The sequence below is a fragment of the Homo sapiens genome, chromosome 1, assembly GCF_000001405.40.
Source record: "Homo sapiens chromosome 1, GRCh38.p14 Primary Assembly".
Taxonomy (NCBI): domain Eukaryota; kingdom Metazoa; phylum Chordata; class Mammalia; order Primates; family Hominidae; genus Homo; species Homo sapiens.
Genome location: NC_000001.11, coordinates 114,418,562 through 114,443,822, shown reverse-complemented (window position 1 = coordinate 114,443,822; position 25,261 = coordinate 114,418,562). Strand labels below are relative to the sequence as shown.

The 25,261-nt window shown below is 36.2% G+C and overlaps 1 protein-coding gene across 7 annotated transcripts in view; it reads left to right on the top strand.

Annotated features, from left to right (window-relative positions):
• The window catches only part of TRIM33 (tripartite motif containing 33), a 118,414-nt gene that overhangs the window by 67,381 nt on the left and 25,772 nt on the right, over nucleotides 1–25,261 (top strand). For 2 of the 7 annotated variants that reach the window (XM_047422512.1, XM_011541568.4), the window contains exons 5-12: nucleotides 10,090–10,206; nucleotides 12,911–13,025; nucleotides 15,929–16,075; nucleotides 16,529–16,646; nucleotides 18,100–18,374; nucleotides 19,068–19,232; nucleotides 22,187–22,387; nucleotides 23,372–23,440. In XM_047422512.1, coding sequence (XP_047278468.1) covers nucleotides 10,090–10,206; nucleotides 12,911–13,025; nucleotides 15,929–16,075; nucleotides 16,529–16,646; nucleotides 18,100–18,374; nucleotides 19,068–19,232; nucleotides 22,187–22,387; nucleotides 23,372–23,440 — 1,207 coding nt within the window. Of the gene's footprint in view, nucleotides 1–10,089; nucleotides 10,207–12,910; nucleotides 13,026–15,928; nucleotides 16,076–16,528; nucleotides 16,647–18,099; nucleotides 18,375–19,067; nucleotides 19,253–22,186; nucleotides 22,388–23,371; nucleotides 23,444–25,261 lie in introns of those variants that run through there. The other 5 variants (XM_005270937.5, XM_005270936.5, NM_033020.3 and 2 more) reach the window with 3 other exon arrangements.

Sequence of the window (25,261 nt, the reverse complement as noted above, 5' to 3'; positions counted from 1 at the left end):
GGCCTCAAGTGATCCTCCTGCCTTGGCCCCCAAAGTGTTTAGATTACAGGCATAAGCTACCACACCTGGCTCCACCTTAATATTTTTTATACCCTATTGCAGTTTTGTGTATAGTTAGAGTAGAGTAATTTTAGATTGTTTTTGAAGATACTGTTTAAGAGAGAGTGGCTACTTAAAACCTAGTATCAGATATTTTTATTAAAGAGTAAGATAGTTTATGATGGTAGTTACTTGAATGATATAAGTGAGGTTTCTCTAAAATATTTTCTTAAAGAAATAGCTTTTCATCAGGGTGCAGTGGCCCACGCCTGTAATCTGAGCACTTTGGAAGGCTGAGGCTGGTGGATCGCTTGAGTCCAGGAGTTGGAGACAAGCCTGGGCAACATGGTGAAACACCATCTCATTCATTCATTCATTCATTCATTCATTCATTCATTTTGAGATGGAGTCTTACTCTGTCACCCAGGCTGAAGTGCAATGGCATGGTCTCGGCTCACTGCAACTTCTGCCTCTTGAGTTCAAGCGATTCTCCCACCTCAGCCTCCTGAGTAGCTGGGATTACAGGTGCATGCCACCACACCTGGCTAATTTTTTTGTATTTTTAGTAGTGATGGGGTTTCACTATGTTGGCCAGGCTGGTCTTGAACTCCTGACCTTGTGATCTACCTGCCTCAGCCTCCCAAAGTGCTGGGATTACAGGTGTGAGCCACCGCACCTGGCCCCCATCTCCATTATTTAAAAAAAAAAAAAGGGAGAGAGGAAGAGAGAAGGGAAAGAAGAAAAGGAAGGGAAGGAATAGCTTTTCTTAGAATTGGACTTTTGAATTAAGATTTTGTGTGGATAAACTTGAGAGCAGATATTCACAATTCTAAATTTATATTAAAAGTAGGGAGATTTAAAAAAATATATTGATGCCTCATTCCTATTCCAGGCTAGTTAGATAAGAATCTTATATTATGGCCTGGATATAAAAAATTGTTTTTACAATCTTTTAAGAATACTGGTAAATCATCCCAGGTAGTTTGCATTATTCATAGCTTTAAAAGAACCTTTGCTGAAACTCACTTTTTTAGTTCTTCCGTAAATTCTTCTAAGAGTTTTTTTTTTCTTTTTTTTTCTTTTTTTTTTTTTTTTTGAGACAGAGTCTTGCTTTGTCGCCCAGGCTGGAGTGCAGTGGTGCGATCTTGGCTTACTGCAACCTCCACTTCCTGGGTTCAAGCTATTCTCCTGCCTCAGCCTCCCAAGTAGCTGGGATCACAGGCGCCCACCACCACGTTCGGCTAATTTTTGTATTTTTAGTAGAGACAGTTTCACCATATTGGCCAGGCTGGTCTCAAACTCCTGACCTCAGGTGATCCACCCACCTCGGCCTCCCAAAGTGCTGGGGTTATAGGAGTGAGCCACCATGCCCGACCCTAAAAATTCTTTCAGATGCAATCCAAGTAGTTGAAGAATCTGAATACATTTTTTGTAGAAGTGATAAGTAAATACATATCTACTGTCAGTCCTCTTAGGGAGCTAGATTCAGAGCTATGGCAACAAATAAAGATTTCCTATCCAAGCATAATTTTTTCATGGGGTACACTTATTGTCAGACAAAATGGTTTGTTTATTGAACTTCACTCAACAAATGAGTATTCATTGATCTCATTTGTTCGGTAGATATTCAAGTACTCATCGTATACCAGGTACCTTGCTAGGTGATAGCTATACAATAATGAAAAAATGTGCTCTGTCCTTGCTATCTTGGAGTTGTGTAGTCTGTATGAGACTGATACTGAGTATTTGGTTCCGTAATAGTTCATCCCTTGAGTATTCTTTAAAATTTGAATTAATTCATTTGGGTATTGCTGAAACATAGCCTCATTAATTTTCATATTATAGTTTCTGATCCTATTAGGATATCAAACTATCTGAAGAGCCCATAGGTTCAATGAGTCAGTTACCCAGCAGAATCATTGCTTATGGCTAGAAGGAGAATAATTCCATATGGCTAAGAGTTAACTTGAAAGAGAAGAATATCAGGAGAGAAGACTTGAGGAAGAAACACATTCAGAGTCGTTAGTTTCACAGATAAAAGTTACCCATTTGGCAAAGAGGGCAGATGGGTTGAGAAGTATCCCATGTGAAAATTTTATTAAATGGCAAAATTATTGCAAAGAATAAAACCAATTGGTCATTTTCCTTTGCAAAAATGCAGCTTTACCTCTGATTATTTACAGCTCATCTGTTATCTCTCTGTGCATGCCTAGTTCCTATCTTTGAAATAATTGTACGTTGTCATCACGTCTTCAAGAGTTCCCTTCTGTGCATGTATCCAATGTAGAATGTTTAGCCACTTAACGTCCTCTCTATCACATCACCCTATTCAAATTTTTGTTTTCTCCTTAATTAAAATGTAAGGAAAGGAAGAACAGGACCTTATTTTACCTTATTTACTGTGGTATCCCTACCCTTTGAATATTTCTTGGCAAATAGGCAAATTTAGTTCATATAAATAATGACTACATACTTTTTTATTTTTAAGGGGATGAGGTCTCACTCTGTCACCAAGGCTGGAGAGCAGTGGTGTGGTCATAGCTCACTGCAGCCTCAAACTCTTGGACTAAGGTGATCCTCTCAAGTAGCTGGAAGCACAGGCATGTGCCACCACCCCCAGTCATTTTTTAAAATGTTTTGTCCAGACAGGGTCTCGCTTTATTACCCTGGCTGGTGTTGCACTTCAGGCCGCAAGCGATCCTCCCACTTCAGCCTCCGAAATTGTTGCGGATTACGGGGTGAGCCACCATGCCTGGCCTTTGTATTTTAAGAGTCTTAAAAGTCTTTTAAGAGTCACAAGATACGTAATTTATACACAGAAGTATACCTAAAGAAACTGTGTAAAGAATAACAAAGATGTCTTTAAAAATGTGCGTTGTGATTGTGTCTTTCAATCAGTAATCTCCTCACATATTCCATGTGTTGCATTCTTTGTTGGTCCTTCTTCTGGAATTCCAGTTAGATGTATGTTAGACTCCCCTCAATCCATTCTCCATTTCTCTTAATGTTTGTATTCCCCCCCTTTTTTTACATTGAAAATGCAAAACAGGGAGACACTTTTCTCTGAACAATCTCAGTTCACAAATACTCTCTTTATGTCTAAACTGCCATTAAAACCCATCCATTATAATTTAAATATTTTAAATCAGCCAGCTCCTCCCCCTTTTAAAAACTTTATTTTTAGATAGCAAAAAAAGTTCAAAGAGGTCTTTTGTATACTTCATCTAAAATTTTAAATAGTTGCCTGAACATTTTAGCTGTGTTTTATTCTTTAAATAGAGTACATGTATTTATTTTGCCTCTGTTAGTGAGTCAGTTCTTCCTGTTATTTCTGTTGATTCTTGCTTAGGGTGCTGTTTTTCCTTATATATGTAGTCTTTTAAAACTATGAACTTTCCTCTTTCCTTGAAAAATTATGCAATTTTTTTTTTTTTGGTCTAAAATTAAGATACTTTCTTTCCACAATAAAGGATTGAATTTCCTGTTGCTATTGCCTAGAAGCACTACCAGTTTCCGACAGTTAAATTTCCGGAATGAAGTTTTGAACCACCAAGATGATGTGCACTTGGTCTGAAAATTCACATGTGAAGTGTTTTGTGGATACAACTTCTGAGGGTCTCCCCCCTCCTCTTCCACAGAATCATTGTTATTGTCATTCAGTCTTTTTGAGGTGATAGAGGGGCAGGTTACTCTTAGTATACCCTTATGTTAAGGTCATAACACTTTTGGATCTCTGCTTTGTAGTGGTATAGGTTTTAGATCTCTGCTTTGTGGTGACGGACTGTGAATCCATCATCACAGTCAAAATAGTGAACATCTTTATCACTCCTAGTAGTTTCACCTTCATGTTAACTTTTCTGGATAAATAATTCAAGGCTGAAAGTTTTCTTTAAGTAGTTTAAAGATGTTGCTCCACTCTCATTGTTTCCATCAAGAAATCTGTTTTATTTTTGTTCATTTGTATACAGTGTATCTTTTTTCTCTTCTGGTTGCTTTTAATATTTTCTCTTTATCACTGGTTTTAAACAGTTTGGAAATTATATACCTTAGTGTAGTCTTCTGAATGTTTCTTGTGCTTGGGGGATGTTGAGCTTCTTAGAGCTATAGATCATCAAATTTGAAAAACTTTTATCCGTAACTACTATTTCTAATATTTTTTCTCTTCCTCTGTTTTTCTCCTTTGGGGATGCCAATTATACATGTATTAATGTACTAATGACTTTTCACTGCTCACTGTTTTTTTTTTGATGGAGGGCTTCATTTTGGGTAGGATTAACAGAGATTAGATTTTTTTTTTTTTTTTTTTTTTTTTTTTGATACAGAGTCTCTCTCTGTCGCCCAGGCTGGAGTGCCGTGGCGCAATCTTGGCTCACTGCAATCTCCACCTCCCAAGTTCAAGTTCTCCTGCCTCAGCCTCCTGAGTAGCTGGGATTACAGGCATGCACCACCACACCCAGCTAATTTTTGTATTTTTAGTAGAGACGGGGTTTCACCATGTTGGTCAGGCTGGTCTCAAACTCATGACCTCGTGATCTGCCCACCTCGGCCTCCCAAAATGCTGGGATTACAGGCGTGAGCCACTGTGCCCAGCCAGAAGATTAGATATTACAGGAGAAAAGATAAATGATTTTGAAGACAGCAATAGAAAGTGACATCCTGTTCTAATGAAGTCTTAGGTAATTGAAATATCAGGTGATGTCACTGTGATTTTTGAGATTTAATTAGAGTTAGCTTTTGCTCCCTGTTCTATTTATGTGAGGATTTTAATGTCTTTCTCATACTTTATAGAAATTTCTACCCTTTCAGATTTTCCTCACAGTTGCTCACATTTCCTACTCTCTGTCCCTTTCCTGAACTCTTATGGTTGTTATCATCTCCCCTTCATATAGAGCTTTAAATAAGGAACAATATACATTTGCAACAAGATAAATTCTAACAGTATAAATCCTTTAAAATTACTGCTAAGAATAACAGTGATAGCAAGCATTAAATCCTTAGTATGCCTTAAGTGCTTTGCTTTGTGTGTTTTGACCAGTTTAATTCTTAGGACAGTCCTGTGCATGTATATATGATGATTGTTCTGTATTTTACTGGAGAAGAAGTGAGACACAGAGGGTTGTCAAAGTCATCTAGCTTTTAACTATGAAAATAGTAGTAGTATCTAAGTCATTAAGTTTTTCTAAAGGTTAAATGAGAGAATGCATGTTAAGATACTTAGCCCAGTGCCTGAAAATGTAGTAAGTTATCAGAATAGGCTATTGCCATCTATAGATTGAGAAATGTTTAGATAAAGTATGATGTTTGGAGTTTTCTTCACAGTAGTCTAAGGGATGGAGTGAGTGGGTGTATAGATAAAATCAGCTATGAATGGATACTTCTTGAAAATGGGTGATCGATTCAGTGGAATTAGACTTCTAATACATGTTTGAAATTTAATGTAATTTAAAAAAATGGAATAACTGAAGAAAAATGAAACTGGGTTTTATTAAAAAGGTTCTCTTATTCAGTTTGGATATAAAGCACTATGATGCATTTTTCCCTAGATGTGCCAAAATCAAAACTTAATATATACAGTGACAATTACTAAGAATAGTACTGTATCACTTGGCAAGTAGAGTAGTAGGGCACAGGACTTAGTAAGACCATAATGTACATTCAGAAGTTTGAAGTTATTAGCTAAGTGATTCTCAGCCTTTTAAAAAACACCCATCCATGTATATTTGTATGCATGTTGCCCAGACTGGCCTTGACCTGGGCTCAAGTGGTCCTGTTACATCAGCCTCTTCAGCCTCCCGAATACCTGGGACTTACAGGTGTGGGCCACTGTGCCCAGCAAAAAACACCCTTTTATTATTTATCTCCTACCCTTTACTCATGAGCACCATATTTTCATAAACTTCTTACAAAACTGTATTAAATATAATTTATATCTCAATAATTTAAAAAAGCTAAGCATGCTGATTAATTCTGATCAAAACCAGATAATTTTACCAGGTTTATATAATTCTAGCCAGAAGCACAAAAAGTTTTACTTAGTCTGTCCTAACTAAATCCTGGGCATACATCATTTTTACTTTATTTTACCTATTTTGAAATATGGAGAATAGTTCATTGTGACTAAGAAAGCCCACAAGAATTACTACTTTAGACTGGGTGCGGTGGCTCACGCCTATAATCCCAGCACTTTGGGAGGCCGAGGTGGGTGGATCATGAGGTCAAGAGACTGAGACCATCCTGGCCAACATGGTGACGCCCCATCTCTACTAAAAATACAAAAATTAGCTGGGTGTCGTGACTCATGCCTGTAGTCCTATGTACTCGGGAGGCTGAGGCAGGAGAATCGCTTGCACCCAGGAGGTACAAGTTGCAGTGAGCCGAAATCGTGCCACTGTACTCCAGCCTGGCAACAGAGCGAGACTCCGTCTCTAAATAAATAAATAAATACTACTTTAAAATGCAAGATTAAAATCTAAGAAATTACTTTGAAGTATTTATGTATTAATCAAAACTACATTTAGTTCATTTGTTGGTTATTCTTTCCCCACATTTCAGCTGTAATTTTGATTAAAGAAAATTCAGTTTACCTAGGTATATCATATTTAGGAAAATAGTGTGTGTTTGCTTGTTTCTTGTTCACATGAATGTAACAAGATATATTTAGAAACAGGACTTTGAAAAATATTTATTTTGGGATAAGGGGAATTTGTACATGGTTAAATTTTATGAATTAGAATTTTGTGAATTTTGATACTAGTTAACCTTTCTATCAAATGCGTATATGTTGACATCATCAAATTCTTCAAAAAGATTGTTTTTCATCACAATGTAAATAAAGCTAAGTCAAAAGGGTTAACATGGAATCCTCATATTTCTGCTTTATTTGTTCAGATTTAACATAGTAATAGTTTTTATTGGATGTAGAGAAATCATAGTATGTGGGATAAATCAAATGTTGCTCTTTCACGAAGGAACAAACTTCGGGTCCCCTATCTAACAGTAAAGCCTCTTTAAAAGCCTCTTGCCAGGAGTGGTGGCTCACGCCTGTAATCCCAGCACTTTGGGAGGTCGAGGTGGGCGGATCATCTGAGGTCAGGAGTTTGAGATCAGCCCGGCCAACATGGCAAAACCCCATCTCTACTAAACATACAAAAATTAGCCAGGCATGGTGGTGTATGTCTGTAGTCCCAGCTACTCGGGAGGCTGAGGAGGAGAACTGCTTGAACCTGGGAGGTGGAGGTTGCAGTGAGCTGAGATTGCGCCACTGCACTCCAGCCTGGACGACAGAGCGAGACTCCGTCTCAAAAACAAACAAAAAAACTCTCTGAAAATATTCACGTGCTTTTTTGTGCTATTAGTATCTTTTTTTTTTTTTTTTTTTTTTTTGAGACAGAGTCTCACTCTGTCACCAGGCTGGAGTGCAGTAGTGTGATCTTGGCTCACTGCAATCTTCGCCTCCCCAGTTCAAGCAATTCCCCTGCCTCCGCATCTCAACTAGCTGGGACTACAGGTGCACACCACCATGCCGGGCTAATTTTTTTGTATTTTAGTAGAGACAGGGTTTCACCATGTTGTCCAGGATGGTCTCGATCTCCTGACCTCGTTATCCACCTGCCTCGGCCTTCCAAAGTGCTGGGATTACAGGTGTGAGCCACCACGCCTGGCCTGTGCTATTAATATCTTATACAAGTTATAATGTTGCTCAACATTGTAGACAGTTGAGCTTTAAAAATGTTCTCCTTAAAAATGGTTAAATTGGGCTGGATGTGGTGGCTCGTGTCTGTAATCCTAGCATTTTGGCCGAGGCAGGAGAATCACTTGAGACCAGGAGTTCAAGACCAGCTTGGGCAACATGGCAAGACTTCATCTCTACAAAAAAGTAAAAAAAAAAAAAAAAAAAAAAAAAAAAGCGGGTGTCTATAGTCCCAGCTACTCGGGAGAATGATGCAGGAGGATTGCTTGGGCTTATGAGTTTGAGGCTGCAGTGAGCCGTGATGGTTCCAGTGCATTCCAGCTTGGGTGATAGAGTGAGACCCTGACTCAAAAAAAAGTTCAGACGGATAAATTTTACTACGTATATTTTACCACAATAAAGTCAGTGCACCAGCAGTTTTCTATAACAGAAATTCCCATATTGATCTACATTTTCTCTCCTACTGTCCTCCATTCTTCTTGTACCTCTTGTATCCCACTACTAAGTAAACTTCCCTTTATCTTAACAAACTTTCCTTTATGTTAACAATTTCATAGTCTTTCCTCTTGTCTGCCTTAGCTGAGACTTTCATTGAAGAAACAATGGACATTTAGATGCTCATAGTATTATTACTTTTGTGATTTTAGTGCCCATATAGACAATTACACAGTAATTGTGAACTCATTTCCAATGATTTGTTTCTTGACTGTGCCTTAGCTAGGCATTTAGTTTTCAGGTTGTACCATGGACCTTGCCATAACTGACACATAACCTCTCAAATCTGCTGATCTCACTGATAAAGTCAGTTCCAGCTTGTTTGTTTGGCTGTACCAACCAGTACTGTACCCTGATCTCTGATATGAGTTACTGTCTTAGAGTTTTAGCTGGTCTTTCCCTTCTATTCCCTTCTTTGGGTCTTTTATATTTCTGTTTGATGATTTTCCTAGAATGTAAATGTGATTATTACATTCTGGTTAGAATTCTTCAGAGGTTTTCCATTACTTAGAGAATTAAATGCACAAATAGTGTGCTATACTTGGCCCTTCACAGTTTGCCTCTGGATTTTATCAGTTATTGTCTCATATTCTGACTTTTGTATATTTTTCTTTGGCCATATTGAAGTATTTATGTGTGGATTTTATCAGTTGTTGTCTCATATTCTGACTTTTGTATATTTTTATTTGGCCATATTGAAGTATTTACATGTCTCAAACATGCCTCTGTACCTAGCATAAGATGCTGTTCTTCTCTGCTGTGCTTTTCTTGGTATTGAGGCCGATTTAGGCAGTGGTTTCTTGTAAATTATATATACGTGAATTATATCTCTTGTCACAGTATGGTATCATTTTGTATTTGTGACTATTTGTTAGTAGTACAAACAATAATGGATTCTTTAGTCCATGTAAAAAGGACATAGAAAAAAACTAAATAATATTTGTTGACTTAATAACTTAAAAACCTAATAAATAATTTACAAAAAGGAAATAAAAGTAGCAAAGAAAACTATTATTCTAGCTTCCTAGTAGCCAAAGAAATGTTATTAGAGTCTATATTTGCACTATTATGATTAGAAAATTTTAACATATAGCATTCATGCTGACAAAGTAAAACTGGTGTTGATGTGATGTTTTTTATTGATTTAACCCTTGTGGAAAGTTTGACAGTACATGGCATCCAGAACTGAAAAATTATTTTAAGTGTAATTATAAAGACAAGATAAAGAATAAAAGTCAGATGTAAATTTGCATGTTCATTATTATTATAATTGCATTTAAAAATGCATAGTTAGGCCACATGCAGTGGCCCACTCCTGTAATCCTAGCACTTTGAGAGGCCAAGGCAGGAGGATTGCTTGAGACCAAGAGTTTGAGACCAGCCTGGGTAACATAGACCTTGTCTTTATTAAAAAATAAGTAAATAAGTACATGTATAATTAAAAGATTAAGGAACTATATATTACAGTGGTAGCAGTAATTTTGTGATGTTGGAACTATGGGTGATTTCCCTTCCTTTTATAGTATTTTCTATAATGTGGTTACGCTTTATGATTTAAAATGTATACAACTTATGCCAATATTTGAATTTTTAAAAAGATGTAATCCTGAATCAACACTCTAATATAAGAGCACTCAACCATTATCTGAGTAATTTTTTTCTTTCATAATGGCCTTTCAGGGTCAGAGTTGGAGGGAGATGGGTGATTGCCAGTTAAAAGTTGCTGTTGAGATAAGGTATGAGTGGCCAGCATAGAGTTGATCACTTAATTAAGGTTTCAAGATTGACTCATTTAGCTGTTCTTTATTTCCAAAATCTTAATCATAAATGTTTTGTTTTAAATGTAGTTTTGTTTTGGTTTTAAGGTATCAGTTTTTGGAAGAAGCTTTTCAAAATCAGAAGGGTGCAATTGAGAATCTACTGGCGAAACTTCTTGAGAAGAAGAATTATGTTCATTTTGCAGCTACTCAGGTGCAGAATAGGTAAGTTTGTTGCCTTAAAACCATAATTTTAAGAATTACTAAAAAGAAGTGGGTCCAGTTTAAATCTGTTTTTCTGCTATATTAAGCATATAAAGAAAACATTTTTTTGAGGGGGAAATGGTATGAATTTGGGATTATAATATTTGTCAATTAAACAAAATTTAATTGACCAAACTCTTGTATACCCTTTTAGGACACATCTTTGTCTATTTTAATAAGACTGTGGTCTGTGTTAAACCTTAAATGTGGAAACAAATAAATTAATATGGAGAGAGTTGACTTATAAAATTTAAAGTGGAGATTGTGTGGAAGATACAGTATAGAGAAGAGAGTATCACGGGTGGACCAATTATTTCCCCATTTGTAAAACAAGCATTGAAAACAGTGCTTATCTTAATGAGTAGCATTATAAGATGAATACATGATATAGTTTCTGGTACATAGTAAGCAGTTAGATTTTAGCTGTTGCTATTGTATTTATAATTATCATCACCATTTATTATTTAAAAAGTATTCTACTTTGGTATATTTCTAAGTAAATTTATTGATAAGTGAGAGTAGGTTCCATAAGAGAGCAGATTAACAAAGTTATGACTCTTACACCAGAAAGACAAACACTTTGAGCTGGCATAATTAAAACTAAAATTCTTCGGGGTATGAATAAGGTTAATATGTGTTTATAGACTCAAAAATATTAGGACTTCTAATGAATATTAAAGTTCATTAATTTATGATTAAAATGACACATAGTAGATGCTCAAAAGTATTAAATAATTGAATGAATGAATGAATGAAAATAGTACTTTACACATGGTAGAACTTTTTTTTTTTGAGACGGAGTCTCGGTCTGTCGCCCAGGCTGGAGTGCAGTGGCACAATCTCTGCTCACTGCAAGCTCCACCTTCTGGGTTCACGCCATTCTCCTGCCTCAGCCTCCCGAGTAGCTGGGGCTACAGGCGCCCACCACCATGCTCGGCTAATTTTTTGTATTTTTAGTAGAGACGGGGTTTCACCGTGTTAGCCAGGATGGTCTTGATCTCCTGACCTCGTGATCCGCCTGCCTCAGCCTCCCAAAGTGCTGGGATTATAGGCCTGAGCCACTGTGCCCGGCCAGAACTTTTTATCTTAAGTAACACCAAAAGAAAATAAAAGGCTCCTTAGAGCTTGTAGATTGTACACACACACACACTCCATTGGTGGGTTTTTGTTTTTGGAAATGTTCAGTTGTTTTAGGTTAAACTGGTGATACAGTTGATTTGGAGAAGACTGTTTCTCAGAAATGATAGATGGATGTCTCTTTCAAAGGAAATGTAGTGAGTTGATTCATATGGCAGTCCCATATTTTTATACAGATGTTTTGTGTGTACATTGTATAAGTATTTTTTAAATATATTTTGTACACGTGTTCCAGAATCTGTATACAAAAGTAGGGCAAGAGGTTTACCTGTTACAAGATTGCACGGGGTTGAGGAGATTGATTTCATCTGTAGAAAGTTTTTAAAAAAACAGTATTAAAATCTCTGATAACTTCCCCTTTTAGACACATTTTTCACTGACCTATCTCCATTATTTTTTAATGTACATTTTTTTCTTTCTTCAAAACTGAACATACAGTAGACTTAATTAAATCCAATAGGAGTCTGACTGAGACTAACTACTCTCTAACTACTCTCTGTTTTCAGCATGCTTAGTGATTTCTATCTTCAGCCCAATCATTTTATATTTGAAACCTATATTTCTTATCACTAGTTATTAGTACCTTTATATATTAAAAATATCTTCCACTCACCTTAGTAAGATAAGGACAAAACTCAAAATTTTCAAGTAAGTGCCAAACGATGTACAGAGAAGGAAAAAAACTACATTATTTCTTGGAGTGTATTAAAGTTAACTAAATTCGAACTTGGCAAATGAAAGGCAGTTTAGGAGCTGAAAGCATGGGTTATAGTTTTTACAGAAGTAGAATGTATAAAAATTGAAGCTATGTCTTATGGTTGGTCGTTGACATTTTATATATTTATAGTGGTGGGATTATCCACTTCCTGTTTTGTAAATACCAAAGTATCAGCCACTTCATATTTGCACCTAAAACTTCCATAACTGCTTTGAGTGCTTACACCTACTTATAAAACATCTAAAGCTATTCTTAAAAATGGATTGAAAATGTTTTATGCCCTTTACTGTATACAAAGGGAAACCATATTAAGAGTAATTTTGAAGGGAGTGTATCAGAACCCATGTTTGAAGTGGCTAAGTTATAAATGAAAATAAATGCTTCTATGTTTAACTATTATCCTTTCAAAAGATAATTATTGCTTGTGACATTGTCCTTTTGCACATTGTTCTTGGAAAACGTCAAGGTTAAACAGAACCAATGTGCCACATTTGACACTATCCAGAAGTCACTGGTGTTTGTGCATCACATTCATGTCATAGTTACTTAAGTAGATTGCCATCCAGCTTAATAAACTGTCCTTTATGAGCATAATTTAAAATTACTAAATATTAGTTTCATTATTTGTCTATGTACATAACTTGTTTGGACCAAATTGGTCAGGTCTGCTGAAACATGAGTTGTACATTTTGACAAAGTTTTCATTTTAATTACTCGGTTAAGTGCCCAGTTGGATGAATTTCTGTAACAGTTGATGATTCAGAGACCTAGGATAAGTTGATAACCTAATGATGCATTTCTCTTATTCAGGATAAAAGAAGTAAATGAGACTAACAAACGAGTAGAACAGGAAATTAAAGTGGCCATTTTCACCCTTATCAATGAAATTAATAAGAAAGGAAAATCTCTCTTACAACAGCTAGAGGTATGGTTCAAAGCCAAAATAAAACAAAAACTGCTTCTCTTGCTCTTTAGCTGTTTTTAATGTTTATTGAAAACTATTTTAGATGGATTGGGGGGTATGGAAATAAAGGAAAACGTAAAATAAGGTTTTTAAAATTTACTTTTGGAAGAGACCTTTTCTAGTTAGTTACTTTGCGGCCCAATTTAATAACACTGACTTTAGCTGTATACCTTAGGAAATAGTGATGTCCTCTTAGAAATCAAATAATTGTTACTAAGACTGGGTATGGTGACTCACACCTGTAATCCCAACACTTTGGGAGCCCAAGGCAGACAGATCGCTTGAGCCCCGGGATCCAGCCCAGCCCAGGCAACATGGCGAAACCTGCCTCTACAAAAAATACAAAAATTAGCCAGGGTGGTGGCATGCACCAGTAGTCACAGCTACTCAGGAAACTGAGGTGGGAGGATCGACTGAGCCCGGGAGGTCAAGGCTGCAATGAGCTGTGATTGTGTCCTGCACTCCAGCCTGGGCAACAGAGTGAGACCCTGTCTCCAAAATGAAAAACAGAAAAAGAAAAAAGAAATGTTACTAAAATGTGATGTACGTAAAGGCAAAGTAGTCCCACCACATTTCTTCCCCACCCCCTTAAGATGGGGCCTCAATTTAATTTTACCATATAGATTCATGTTGGGCTTCTGCTTGAGTCATTTGTGTATTTTACCTTATTTTAAAAATATTTCCATAGTTTTGCAGAAAATGCTGCTCTTTTTGAAATTTATAAACCTTAAACTTAGTGAAAATTTTGTGATATTAGGTATTTATATTGCATATTTTGAAGTTTATTTGTAGGTGTAAGTTTCTAGATGAAAATCTAGTCAGTTCATGAAATCTAAATTTTTAATCAAAGTCTCCACTGCCGATTTGATTTATTTTTAGCAAATTTCAAATAGGAGTTTTCTGGGAAATTGAAGTTTCAGAAAGAGAAATGTTTCCTGATTGAAAATTTCATGCTCTGGAAAGTTGAAATTTTGGAAAGAGAAATATTTTCTGATTGAAGATTTCATGCTCTTAACTAGGTTCAGATGATATGGGGATTATTTTTTCTGCACCATTGAATAGTAATAATGAAATGATTTATTTGATTATTTCCATTAACCTCAAATTGTCAATAGTTTTTTTTTTTTTCTGTCCCATCTCTTCATAGAATCCTTTAAAAATATTAGGTGAATAATTACATAAAAATGAAATGATGTCAGTAGAATGTTATCTCTGAATGGAATACATCTTTCCAGTGAAACACAATTTGTGAGATTAAAAGTACTCTTGGCCGGGTGCGGTGGCTCACGCCTGTAATCCCAGCACTTTGGGAGGCTGAGGTGGGTGGATCACAAGGTCAGGAGTTCGAGACCAGCTTGGCCAACATGGTGAAACCCCATCTCTACTAAAAAAAAAAAACAAAAATTAGCCAGGCGTGGTGGTGTATGCCTGTAATCCCAGCTACTCAGGAGGCTGAGGCAGGAGAATTGCTTGAACCCGGGAGGTGGAGGTTGCGGTGAGGCAAGATTGCGCCTCCGCACTCCAGCCTGGGCGACAGAGCGAGACTCCGTCTCAAAAAAAAAAAAAAAGTACTCTTGTGCAGATTGTTAAAGTTGTGGGTCCCTTTTCCTACTGTACACCAGTCTGTTGCATTTAACCCTAATAGGTTTTTCCCCCCAAAAGGACCCATGTGAATAGAGAGCACTTAGTAACTATTTTTGATACACTTAAACTTACTGTAATACATTTGAGCTGTACGTCTAAAATAGTATTTGTAAAACCATTTCAAGAGTTTCTGAATTAAAAGATGCTTCTTAAGATCCCTTGAGCCTGGGAAGTGGAGTTTGCAGTGAACCAGGATTGCACCACTGCACTCCAGCCTGGGGGACAGAGTGAGACTCTGTTAAAAAAAAAAAAGCCTCTTAAGGCTAAAGTGTATACAAATACCTAATGGTAAATACGCCACATACTACTAACATGATGATAAATTTAAAATAGATGTTTTCTAGTGTAATATGTTCTTATACTTTGTAGAAGAAACGTTTTTCTAAGCTTTATAAAAGAAATGTAGTAAACCATACTTCTCTCAGTTGAATACTCTTATCCATTGATTTACATTATAAAATGAACAGCTTCTTTCCTTAGGAAAAATATTGTCCAGAAAAACCAACTTGAGTCATTTTTGGGAGAAAGTTCTTAAGAAAGTAGTAGATGAGTTGTTCAGCATGCTGAATGTCAAAAGTATGTAGGACATTACCCATCCCTCCTGGGGTGATTTTAGTTCCCATAAAGCAGTTTATTTTTCCTTTGCAGTGTTTCTCTGAAATTGGTTTTTGCAGTTTGGTCAGTCCTTACTTCTTTGTTCTCTGTGAACTTCTGTGATATCAAAAGTTTCCCTAATTCTACTCTTAGAACTCTGGAAGTTATCTTTTTCATTTTGTCTTATATATTTAAGAGAGATTTTAACTTCATTCTCATGCCATACCAGGAGGTGGCACTGGTGACACAAAATTTTTTTGGCCTTTAAAGTATATTAAGATTACATAAATTTATTTCTAAAGTTAGCTCCTTATGCTATAAATACCATATATTAGATTAATCTAATAGGAAGACACTATTTTTAACAGACATGTTGATAGAAAAGTGACATTAACTAACATTCATTTCTATATGTGGAATATCCTTTTTAGCTTAGAGAACTGACTTTTAGTCCCACTTTTGTTAGTGGCTTTTCCTCTGATGATAGGCTTGCTAAATAATCATGGAGCTTATTCACTTAGCCCATTTTTAAAGGAAGTATAGGTATTGTGCCCATTTGCATTAGAAATGTGGGGTTGATTTTTTTTCATATGGAATTCTACAGCGAAGCTCTTGTTCTGTTTCAGAATGTTACAAAGGAAAGACAGATGAAGTTACTACAGCAGCAGAATGACATCACAGGCCTTTCCCGGCAGGTGAAGCATGTTATGAACTTCACAAATTGGGCAATTGCAAGTGGCAGCAGCACAGCACTACTATACAGCAAGCGACTGGTGAGACACATACTGTTTTTATTTTTCTTTAATGGACTTTATTAAGATATATATTCAGTGAATTGCACCTGTTTAAAGTATACATTTTAATTTTGGCAAATGTAACCACCACCACATCAAGATACAGAAAACTTCCACCACCCCCCAAAGTTTCCTCATTCCACTAGGCAGCCACTAATCTGATTTCTGTCATTTTTTAGAATTTCATATAAGTGGAATTATATAGTATGTACTCTTTTGAAGATACCTAGTATCTTAATGCACTTTATTACCCAAAATGGCAGAAATTCAAGTATGTATATTTGATTTGATTGCTAATTTAAATGTTGATGCTGCCTAATCTGAGGCTGACACTGTGGGAATATATGTGCTTTTTTTTCTTAATGTCTTTATCTTATGATTTCCCAATTGATATTTAATTTTGAGACTAATGTGGATTTTTTTCCCTTTAAGATTACTTTCCAGTTGCGTCATATTTTGAAAGCACGGTGTGATCCTGTCCCTGCTGCTAATGGAGCAATACGTTTCCATTGTGATCCCACCTTCTGGGCAAAGAATGTAGTCAATTTAGGTGAGAAATAATGAGTTTTATGAATATAACTTGGAACACTGAATTAGAAGGAGAAAATACTTAAAGCAAATTTAGATAAAATTTTTAACTTTATAAAACTAATGTTTTACATTTTATGTAAAAATATGTTGTTATTCATTGGAAACTCACTTTAGCTGTGGTTTTGTGTGGCTGTTATTACATCTTAAGAAAGTTGAGCGTCTACTCTGTATATTGTTTTTTAATGTGTGCTGTTTCTAGTCCCCCGACCCTCCATCTTTTAAATTTATATTGACTGTTTCATATAGAAATCTTAGCAAATGATTCATTGTCTGGAATAATTTCATAGATTTTTAGTTGTTTAATTAAGCCAAATTGTGCATTAGCAACAGACTTTTAGGATGCTAATGTGTCCAGTAGTTAGGTCCTGAGGAATGTTTGAAAGATAAGAGTAGCTCTTTTCACATGGAAGAGAAATGGATTTTCCTTTTGTTACAGCGTAGTATGGACCTAAAGACCATAGATGAAAGTTACAGAGAGCTCAGTTAAAACACATGCACACAAACTTCCTAGCAATTAGAGAGCTATTTACAGATTGAGTAAACTCACTTTCAGAACAGTTAAGTCCTAAACAGTGGGAATTGTAAAAGCAGAGGCTGGTTGCCCTTTTTTTTTAAAAAAAAAAAAAAAGTAATCTTTGCATATAATAAAAAAAAATTATATTCAAATTTAGCTATAGCCTTAGTTCTGACATCAGCCAGCTGTTTTTGTGTGACGTAGTAGCTAAGAATGGTTTTTACATTTTCAACTGGTTGTAAAAGCAAACAAAAACCAAGGACTGTGAGACAGATCTTATGTGGCCTGCCAAGCATGAAATATTTACTCTATAGCCCATTACAGGGAAAGCCTGTCAACCTGTGCCTTAAATCACATCTTCCTAAAATTTGGCTTCTATCCCTAGAAGGCAATGGCTCCATAAAAAGCAAGGAAAACCATCACGTCTAAGGATATAAGTTGTTTAAAGCATTCAGTATTTCCACAGAAGACGATTTTGTGACATTGTAATGCTCTGCCTTGCATATTTTGGCAATTCAAAGGCAGATGGAATCAGTATTGGCAATCTTGAGTATCCTTGAGTAAGTCTTGTCATGGGAGAATTGATTTAGATTGATTAGATAGGCCTCTTCTAATAGATAATCTCTTTTACTGTCTTAATTTTCTGTATGTCTAAGTAAAAAAGAATAAGGACAGAGAGTATATTTTTCTGAATAACCAAACGTCATTTATTCAGCTTTGGAATGTATTAAGTTTCTGATCATCATCATCATCTTTAAACTGACTCCATTCCCTGCTGTACTGTTGGAGCTTTGAGGTGCTGATAGTTGTCAGAGGAAAGAGGAAAACATGGTGATTACTCAACAAAGTAGATGATTTAGTTGATTATATGCAAATTCTCATTTTTTAAATTTTTCAGGTAATCTAGTAATAGAGAGTAAACCAGCTCCTGGTTATACTCCTAATGTTGTAGTTGGGCAAGTTCCTCCAGGGACAAACCACATTAGTAAAACCCCTGGACAGATTAACTTAGCACAGCTTCGACTCCAGCACATGCAACAACAAGTATATGCACAGAAACATCAGCAGTTGCAACAGATGAGGATGCAGCAACCACCAGCACCTGTACCAACTACAACAACAACAACACAACAGCATCCTAGACAAGCAGCCCCTCAGATGTTACAACAACAGGTAAGTATCGTGTTACTACATTATTGATAGAAATTATGAAGCCCTCAACACTACACTTTTTCCTATATAATTAAGTTACACATTTCAAAGTTACTAGCAAGACTGAGCAGAGTTCAAAAGTCAGAGTTTAAATATTTGCTATGGTTATGATGGTGATGTAAGGGAGCTGTGAAGAAAGGCAGTAAGTAAATTGTCTTGGGAAACAAAATTAATTCACTAATACTCTGAAAGGATGTAAGTTCTCATCCTTTCACATCAAATCTTTTTTGTTTTCCACGTATAATTTTGTGGACCAAAGGACCAGACTGTTTCTGCCTAGGATCTGATATGTTCCTTAGGCATTTGTTCAGATCTTTCCTATACCTGTGTGTCTTTTGCTCTCTCCACTGCCATCCCAATCAAAACTATTACTCCAGGATGGGATACGTTAATGTTGATACGCTTTAAACACACATATAGAGAAAAAGAGGGGGAACAGGTAAGAGAGAGAGAGAGAGACAAGGGAAATTAGGGAGTGATATACAAACTAGTCATTACCAGTCCTCTGGGGATTGGGGCTAGCGATAAGAATTATTTATACTTTTTACTTTATACCCTTTTATCTTGACTGAATTATTTTTATGATTACATTTTATAATTGAGATAAATTTATTTTAAAATTATTACATAAATTGCAATTTCTACTTTTTGTAGCCTCCTCGATTGATCAGTGTGCAAACAATGCAAAGAGGCAACATGAACTGTGGAGCTTTTCAAGCCCATCAGATGAGACTGGCTCAGAATGCTGCCAGAATACCAGGGATACCCAGGCACAGCGGCCCTCAATATTCCATGATGCAGCCACACCTCCAAAGACAAGTATGCCTAGAGTTACATTTGTAAGAATCCTACAATTTTAAAATTAAAAGACGTCATTTTCTTAATCACTTTTTGGGAGCAGGTCATTGATGTGTTTGAGAATTTGATTAATGCTGTATATCCTCTTGTCCCAGAAAAATAAACATACACATGAGATTTTGTATTTAATTTTAAGAGCTTTTAAAAAATGCTTTAAGTGCATCATATACTGTGGGTTAAGAAACCCTGATGTAGTTAACCCATTCAATTTGCAGAAGTGAAAAAAATCTAATGAGCTGGTGATTTTACCCACAATCACAAAAAGCAATGATAAAATAGCAAGAACATTAGTTTCCTGAAAATGCTGCTCTGCTCTTTTAATGTGGCTTTTTGATCCTAATATATAAAAAGGGCTTTGAGAGTAACAGAGCTAACTATATGTATTATTATTATTATTTTTTTTTACCTTTTCTCTACTCAAATATTCTTCCTTTTAGGATGTAGATACGCTTTAATAAGTGTGTTTAGAGACATGTTTTATAATCTTTGCCTGGTTATGTTTATATGGGAGATATGAGTATACAGTGAGGCCACTTTTTCATAGGATTTCTAGTTATAATAGAGTTTATTTTTTAACTCTTAGAATGATGTTTCTCAAAACATGTTTTAAAGACCATCAGAATCACCAGTCAGCTTTGGTGGAGTGGGCAACCTTGTCAGAATGGATTCCTAGCCATAACCACTGAATCAGAATTTCTAGGTGGGGAGTACTCAGTAATATTTAAATTTGTATTAAGTCTCTCAGGTCAATCTGCGTACTAAAGTTGGAGAAACACTGTCCTAGAACAGTGGTCCTTCAACTTTTTGGTCCATGTACGCCCAGAAAGAGCTTTTTAAAATAATGCGCTTCTTGGCTGGGAGTGGTGGCTCACGCCTGTAATCCCAGCATTTTGGGAGGCCGAGGCAGGAGGATTGCTTGAGCCCAGGAGTTTGTGACCAGCCTGGGCAACATAGCAAGACCCCGTTTCTATTTAACAAAAAAAAAAGAAAGAAAAAATATATACTCGCTCACATTTGAAGGCTTTCATTTAAAATTTCCATTATAGGTTTAAGTTTAAATAGTTTCAAAAGCTGTACTTTATAGCATATTGTAAATATTGATGCTATAAAGTTAAAAAAACCTTTGCATTATTTTAAATGAATCCGCTGGAATTCCAGATACCCTAGCAAGCTCTCCTTGGACTTGAATTACACTTCTACTTCTTCAACAGAGTTTTATCTTACTGTAAGATAGCTTTATTTGATAGATATAGATTAGCCTATTGTAAATTTCTGCAGGAAAAAAATTTTTTTATAATAAATTGTTAAATTTCCAGTGACAATAGGGTTATTATTAAGATTTGAAACTTTTTCTGTGGACCAAATTATCGTTATATCTCCACAATTGTTGAAACAAAATGGGTGTGTTTACATGGTTTAAGACTATTAGAAGATACAAAACTCTTTTGGATATACATTTCTTTGAGCTAGATGGAGACTTTTTACCTCCTGCTTCTGGTTATGTATGTTTGTATGCTGTTACTTATTTTTAAAATAAGTCAGAATTCAACATTGGTTTTTATTACTAGTTTTTTGGGATTTGTTTTTATGTAATGCTTAGGAAACGTTTACAAAATTTACAAATTACAAAAATACATAATTTACAAAATTATGTATTTGGGAATTAAAAGAATTTTATTATAGTAATATCCCTCAATTCTTTGAATTTTTTCTAGGTTATAGGCTGAGAAAACGATCTATCAAAACTATTTAAAAACTTTTTGTCAGTGACAACTTCATTTTTGTTAATCATCAAATATTCGAACCCATTTGAAGGTTTGTTACCCAGGTTTTGGAGTCAGACACCCAACATCGTTATTTCCAATTGTACCTTTGATTATTTCTACAGGTTTTTTTTTTTTTCCTTCCTGGTGCAGTGTGCCTAGAATAAGATTTAGGAATGGTCAAAGGTGTAGTGTTCTTTTGTCAAGGATGGAGGAAGGGCAGTTGCGAAAGTGGTGGAAAAGGAGATCCAGCAGAGCATGGCACATTCTCAGGCAAATCAGATTTTTTTTTTCTTTTTAAAGAGCACATACAAAAGATTGATGGTCTGAACATTTATTTCCTTCACACTTTTCACATAATCATGTACCCCTTAGTTCATGGAAGGCCTTCAAGTATTTCTAGGGGCCAAGTACACCTTGTCAGAGCGCAGAAGCTACACAGTCAGACTAATGAATCATCTCAGAACATTTTCCTTAGACTTTGGGTATACCTCTACAGAAATCACTGGATGTTATTAAGCCTTTTTAGTTTTTAAATATTTCAAATGATTTATTTATATGTGTAGAATTCGTTTTCTTAAGATTTTCTTCTATATTGTCTTAAATGATCCTCATAACAGCCCTCACAATGAAACAAGTGAGGTATTGTTATCCACATTTCTAAATGACTGAGATTATGTGATTTGTCTAAGGTCACACAGTATTAGAGTCAGGACTTGCTGCCATTTTTCTTTTCTGTAAATTCATTGTTCTTTCTGCCACTTCAAGCTGCATTATATATCATTTTTATTGGAAAAATGACTAAAGGTCGAAGAGGAATAATGACCGAATGGTAGTTCTCTTACCCCGGTGTTTGAAAATTTGGAGGTTTACAGATCCTCTATTACATACTTCCTTCTTCTGAAATAAGATCATATCACCAGGCTGATGTGTTGGGAAATTATTGGCAAGTCTGCCTTTCCCTAGATACTATACAAAAATGAATAGAAAAATGAAAAGGCTGAGTTTGAACTGTTCTTCTCCTGAATAAGTTTGAAAGGGCCCACTTCTTTGTTTCTTCTGTTTCCTTCCTAAACTAAAAATTATAAAGGTATAGTTTATATTCAGCGATTCTGGCAGATCAAGTAATGATAATGTCTTCTTTCTTATTAGCACTCAAACCCAGGGCATGCTGGACCCTTTCCCGTAGTATCGGTACACAACACCACAATCAACCCAACGAGCCCTACTACAGCAACTATGGCAAATGCAAACCGAGGTCCCACCAGCCCATCTGTTACAGCAATAGAGCTAATCCCCTCAGTTACCAATCCAGAAAACCTTCCATCGCTGCCAGATATTCCACCCATACAGGTTTGTATTTGAGTTGAATGAGGCTTCATTAAACTTAATGTTAATTACAGAGTTAGAGTATTTATTTCAGAGTTTTTTTTTTTTAATTCAGGATCAACATTTCCTTGAAATTTCTGAAGAGTAAAGTCTAAATCACTAAAAGTCTCCTTCCAGTCTAAGTGAAACTTTCATCAACATCCTCTCTTTCCGCATTCCCCGCCTACCCTCTCCTCTAGCCTCCAGTTAACCATCTTTCTATCCTCTGTTTCTATGAGATGGACATTTTTAGATTCCACATGTAAGTGAGATTAGTCAGCATTTGTCTTTCGGTGCCTGGCTGATTATACATAGCATAATGTCCTTTGGTTCCATTCATGTTGTTGCAAGATGACAGAATTTCCTTCTTTTTAGAGGCTGTATAGTATATTCCATTGTATATGTCTACCACATTAAAAAAAATCCATTCATCCATTGATGGACATTTAGATTGCTTACATATCTTGGCTATTGTGGATAATGCTGAAATGAACATGGGAGTGCAGATAATTTCTCTGATGTAACAATTTCAGTTCTTTTGGATATAAATTTTAGTGATCTCTTGCATTGCATGGTGACAACAGTTGATTGATAGTGTATTATATATTTCAGAATTCCAAAAATGGATTTTTAATGTTCTCACCACAAAAAAATGATGAGTTAGTGGAGTTAGATATGTTCATTAGCTTGATTCAGTCTTTCTATAACATAGATCAGAGCATTACATTGTATACCACAAGTACACACAATTGTTATTTGCCAGTTAAACAAAAAAGAGTTAAGTATAAATATTTGAGTCTTGAAAAGTTATTTAGCTAAAACCAGCATTCCTCAATATTTTAAAGTTCTGGGGAATTGAAGGTCGTATGAATAGCAAATTATGGGAATATCTAAACAGAAGTACAATAATGGTGGATTAATATCACTTTTGCTAAAAGGCTAGTTACTCCCTTTCTACACCTGCCACAGGCAAACGTTGTTCCGATGATGCACTCCTGGTATGAGTTTGGAGCCAGAGAGAAGACCCAGGACCAAAATGTGGTTAGATCTTTGTTGTTCTTCTGTTAGATCCAAAGGGGTAGTCAGTTGGGCTGAGAAAAGGATGGGGTTAGAAGGCCAAGATAGTAGACACTTTGAGGCTTATACTGAGAGGGGGAAATGATGGAGAACAGGAGTAGATGGAATGTGAAGGACCTTTGAGTGAGGCCTTTTGCCCCTTTCAACCGAAGAAAAGTATCCTTTGGATCCTTCTGAAATTTCACCAATTTGTTTCAGTTAAAAGCATTTTCTTTTAAAACGTAAATATAATCTGCCAGCGTTATACTGAATTTAGTTTTATGCATTGTATGCGTTACTTTCATATCTTGGAGTCCGGGGTCACCATAGGAACAAGGAGCAATGAAACTGTTGTAACAGTAGCACCCTTGATTCTTTCTGTGGCTGCAGTTTAATATTTTGTTTTAGTGGGTTTTAATGGGCTTATGTAAAAGTTTTAAAAGATATTTCTATAGCTTCAAACTTTTTAAAATTTTATTTAAAGTAAGTGTGTATATTTAAGGTAACAACATGATGTTAAACATATACATAGTAAACTGGTTACTATGGTGAAACAAATTAACATATCCCTCATCTCACATAATTACCCATCCCCCTGCTCCTGTAAGAGCAGCTGTAATTTACTCATTTAACGAAAACTTTGAATACAATGCACTGTTAACAAAATTGTTCAGAAATCACTAACATATTGTGAATTCTCTTAACCTGATTGCTTCCCTAATACTAGGAGAAGTCTTTTTTGGCTGAGGGAATGGTAGTTTTATTGGTGATGAGAGGACTGGACCATACAGAATGGAAACTTTTTAAATATAAATTAAAAAGTAACATTTCTAAGTTAACAGCTTATAGTTTGTGAAGCGCTTTCACAGGCAATATATAAGTTTAATGCTTAAAATCACCTGATATGTAATATCCCTGTTTTATGGATAAGAGTAAGAGAGGTTCGTATAACCGCCTGACGGGTTATCTGCCCACCACACAAACAAAATCAATTCACGGAGACCATGGCACTGCAGTAAAGAGTTTAATGACGCGAGGCCACTCACGCCACGCAGGAGGTGGAGTTATTACTCAAATCAGTCTCTTTGCAGGCTTGTAGTTTAGGAGTTTTTCTTTTTCTTTTTCTTTTTCATTCTTTCTTTCTTTTTTTTTTTTTTTTTTTTTGAGATGGTGTCTAGCTCTGTTGCCCAGGCTGGAGTACAGTGGCGCAATCTCGACTCACTGCAGCCTCTGCCTCTGAGGCTCAAGCTGTTCTCCTTCCTCAGCCTCCCAAGTAGCTGGAAGCACACGCCCCCAGGCCTGGCTAATTTTTGTGTTTTAGTAGAGATGGAGTTTCATCATGTTGACCAGGCTGGTCTTGAACTCCTGACCTCTGCCTTGGCCTCCCAAGGTACTAGGATTACAGGTGTGAGCCACTGCGCCTGGCAGCTTAGGGGTTTTTCAAAGGTAGTTTGGAGGAAGGGGTGGGGGCAGTAAGGCAATGGGTGCTTGCTGCTGATTGGTTGGGGAATGCAGTCATAGGGGTGTGGGAAAATCCCCCTTAATTGCTGAATCGCTTCTGGGTGGGGCCACAGGAGGGCTTGTTGGAGGGCTTGTTGGGTCCAGGTGGAGCCATTGTCAGTGTCAGACATGCGAGAAACCTCAAAAGATATCTAAAAAGGCCAATCTTAAGTTCAGCAATAGTGATGTTATCTGCAGGAGTAATTAAGGAAGTTGTCTATATTATGACCTCCAGAGTAATGGCTGGCAGTCCTTTATGTCAACACCTTAGCAGAATTCAGGCTCCTTTCCTCCTCCTAGCCT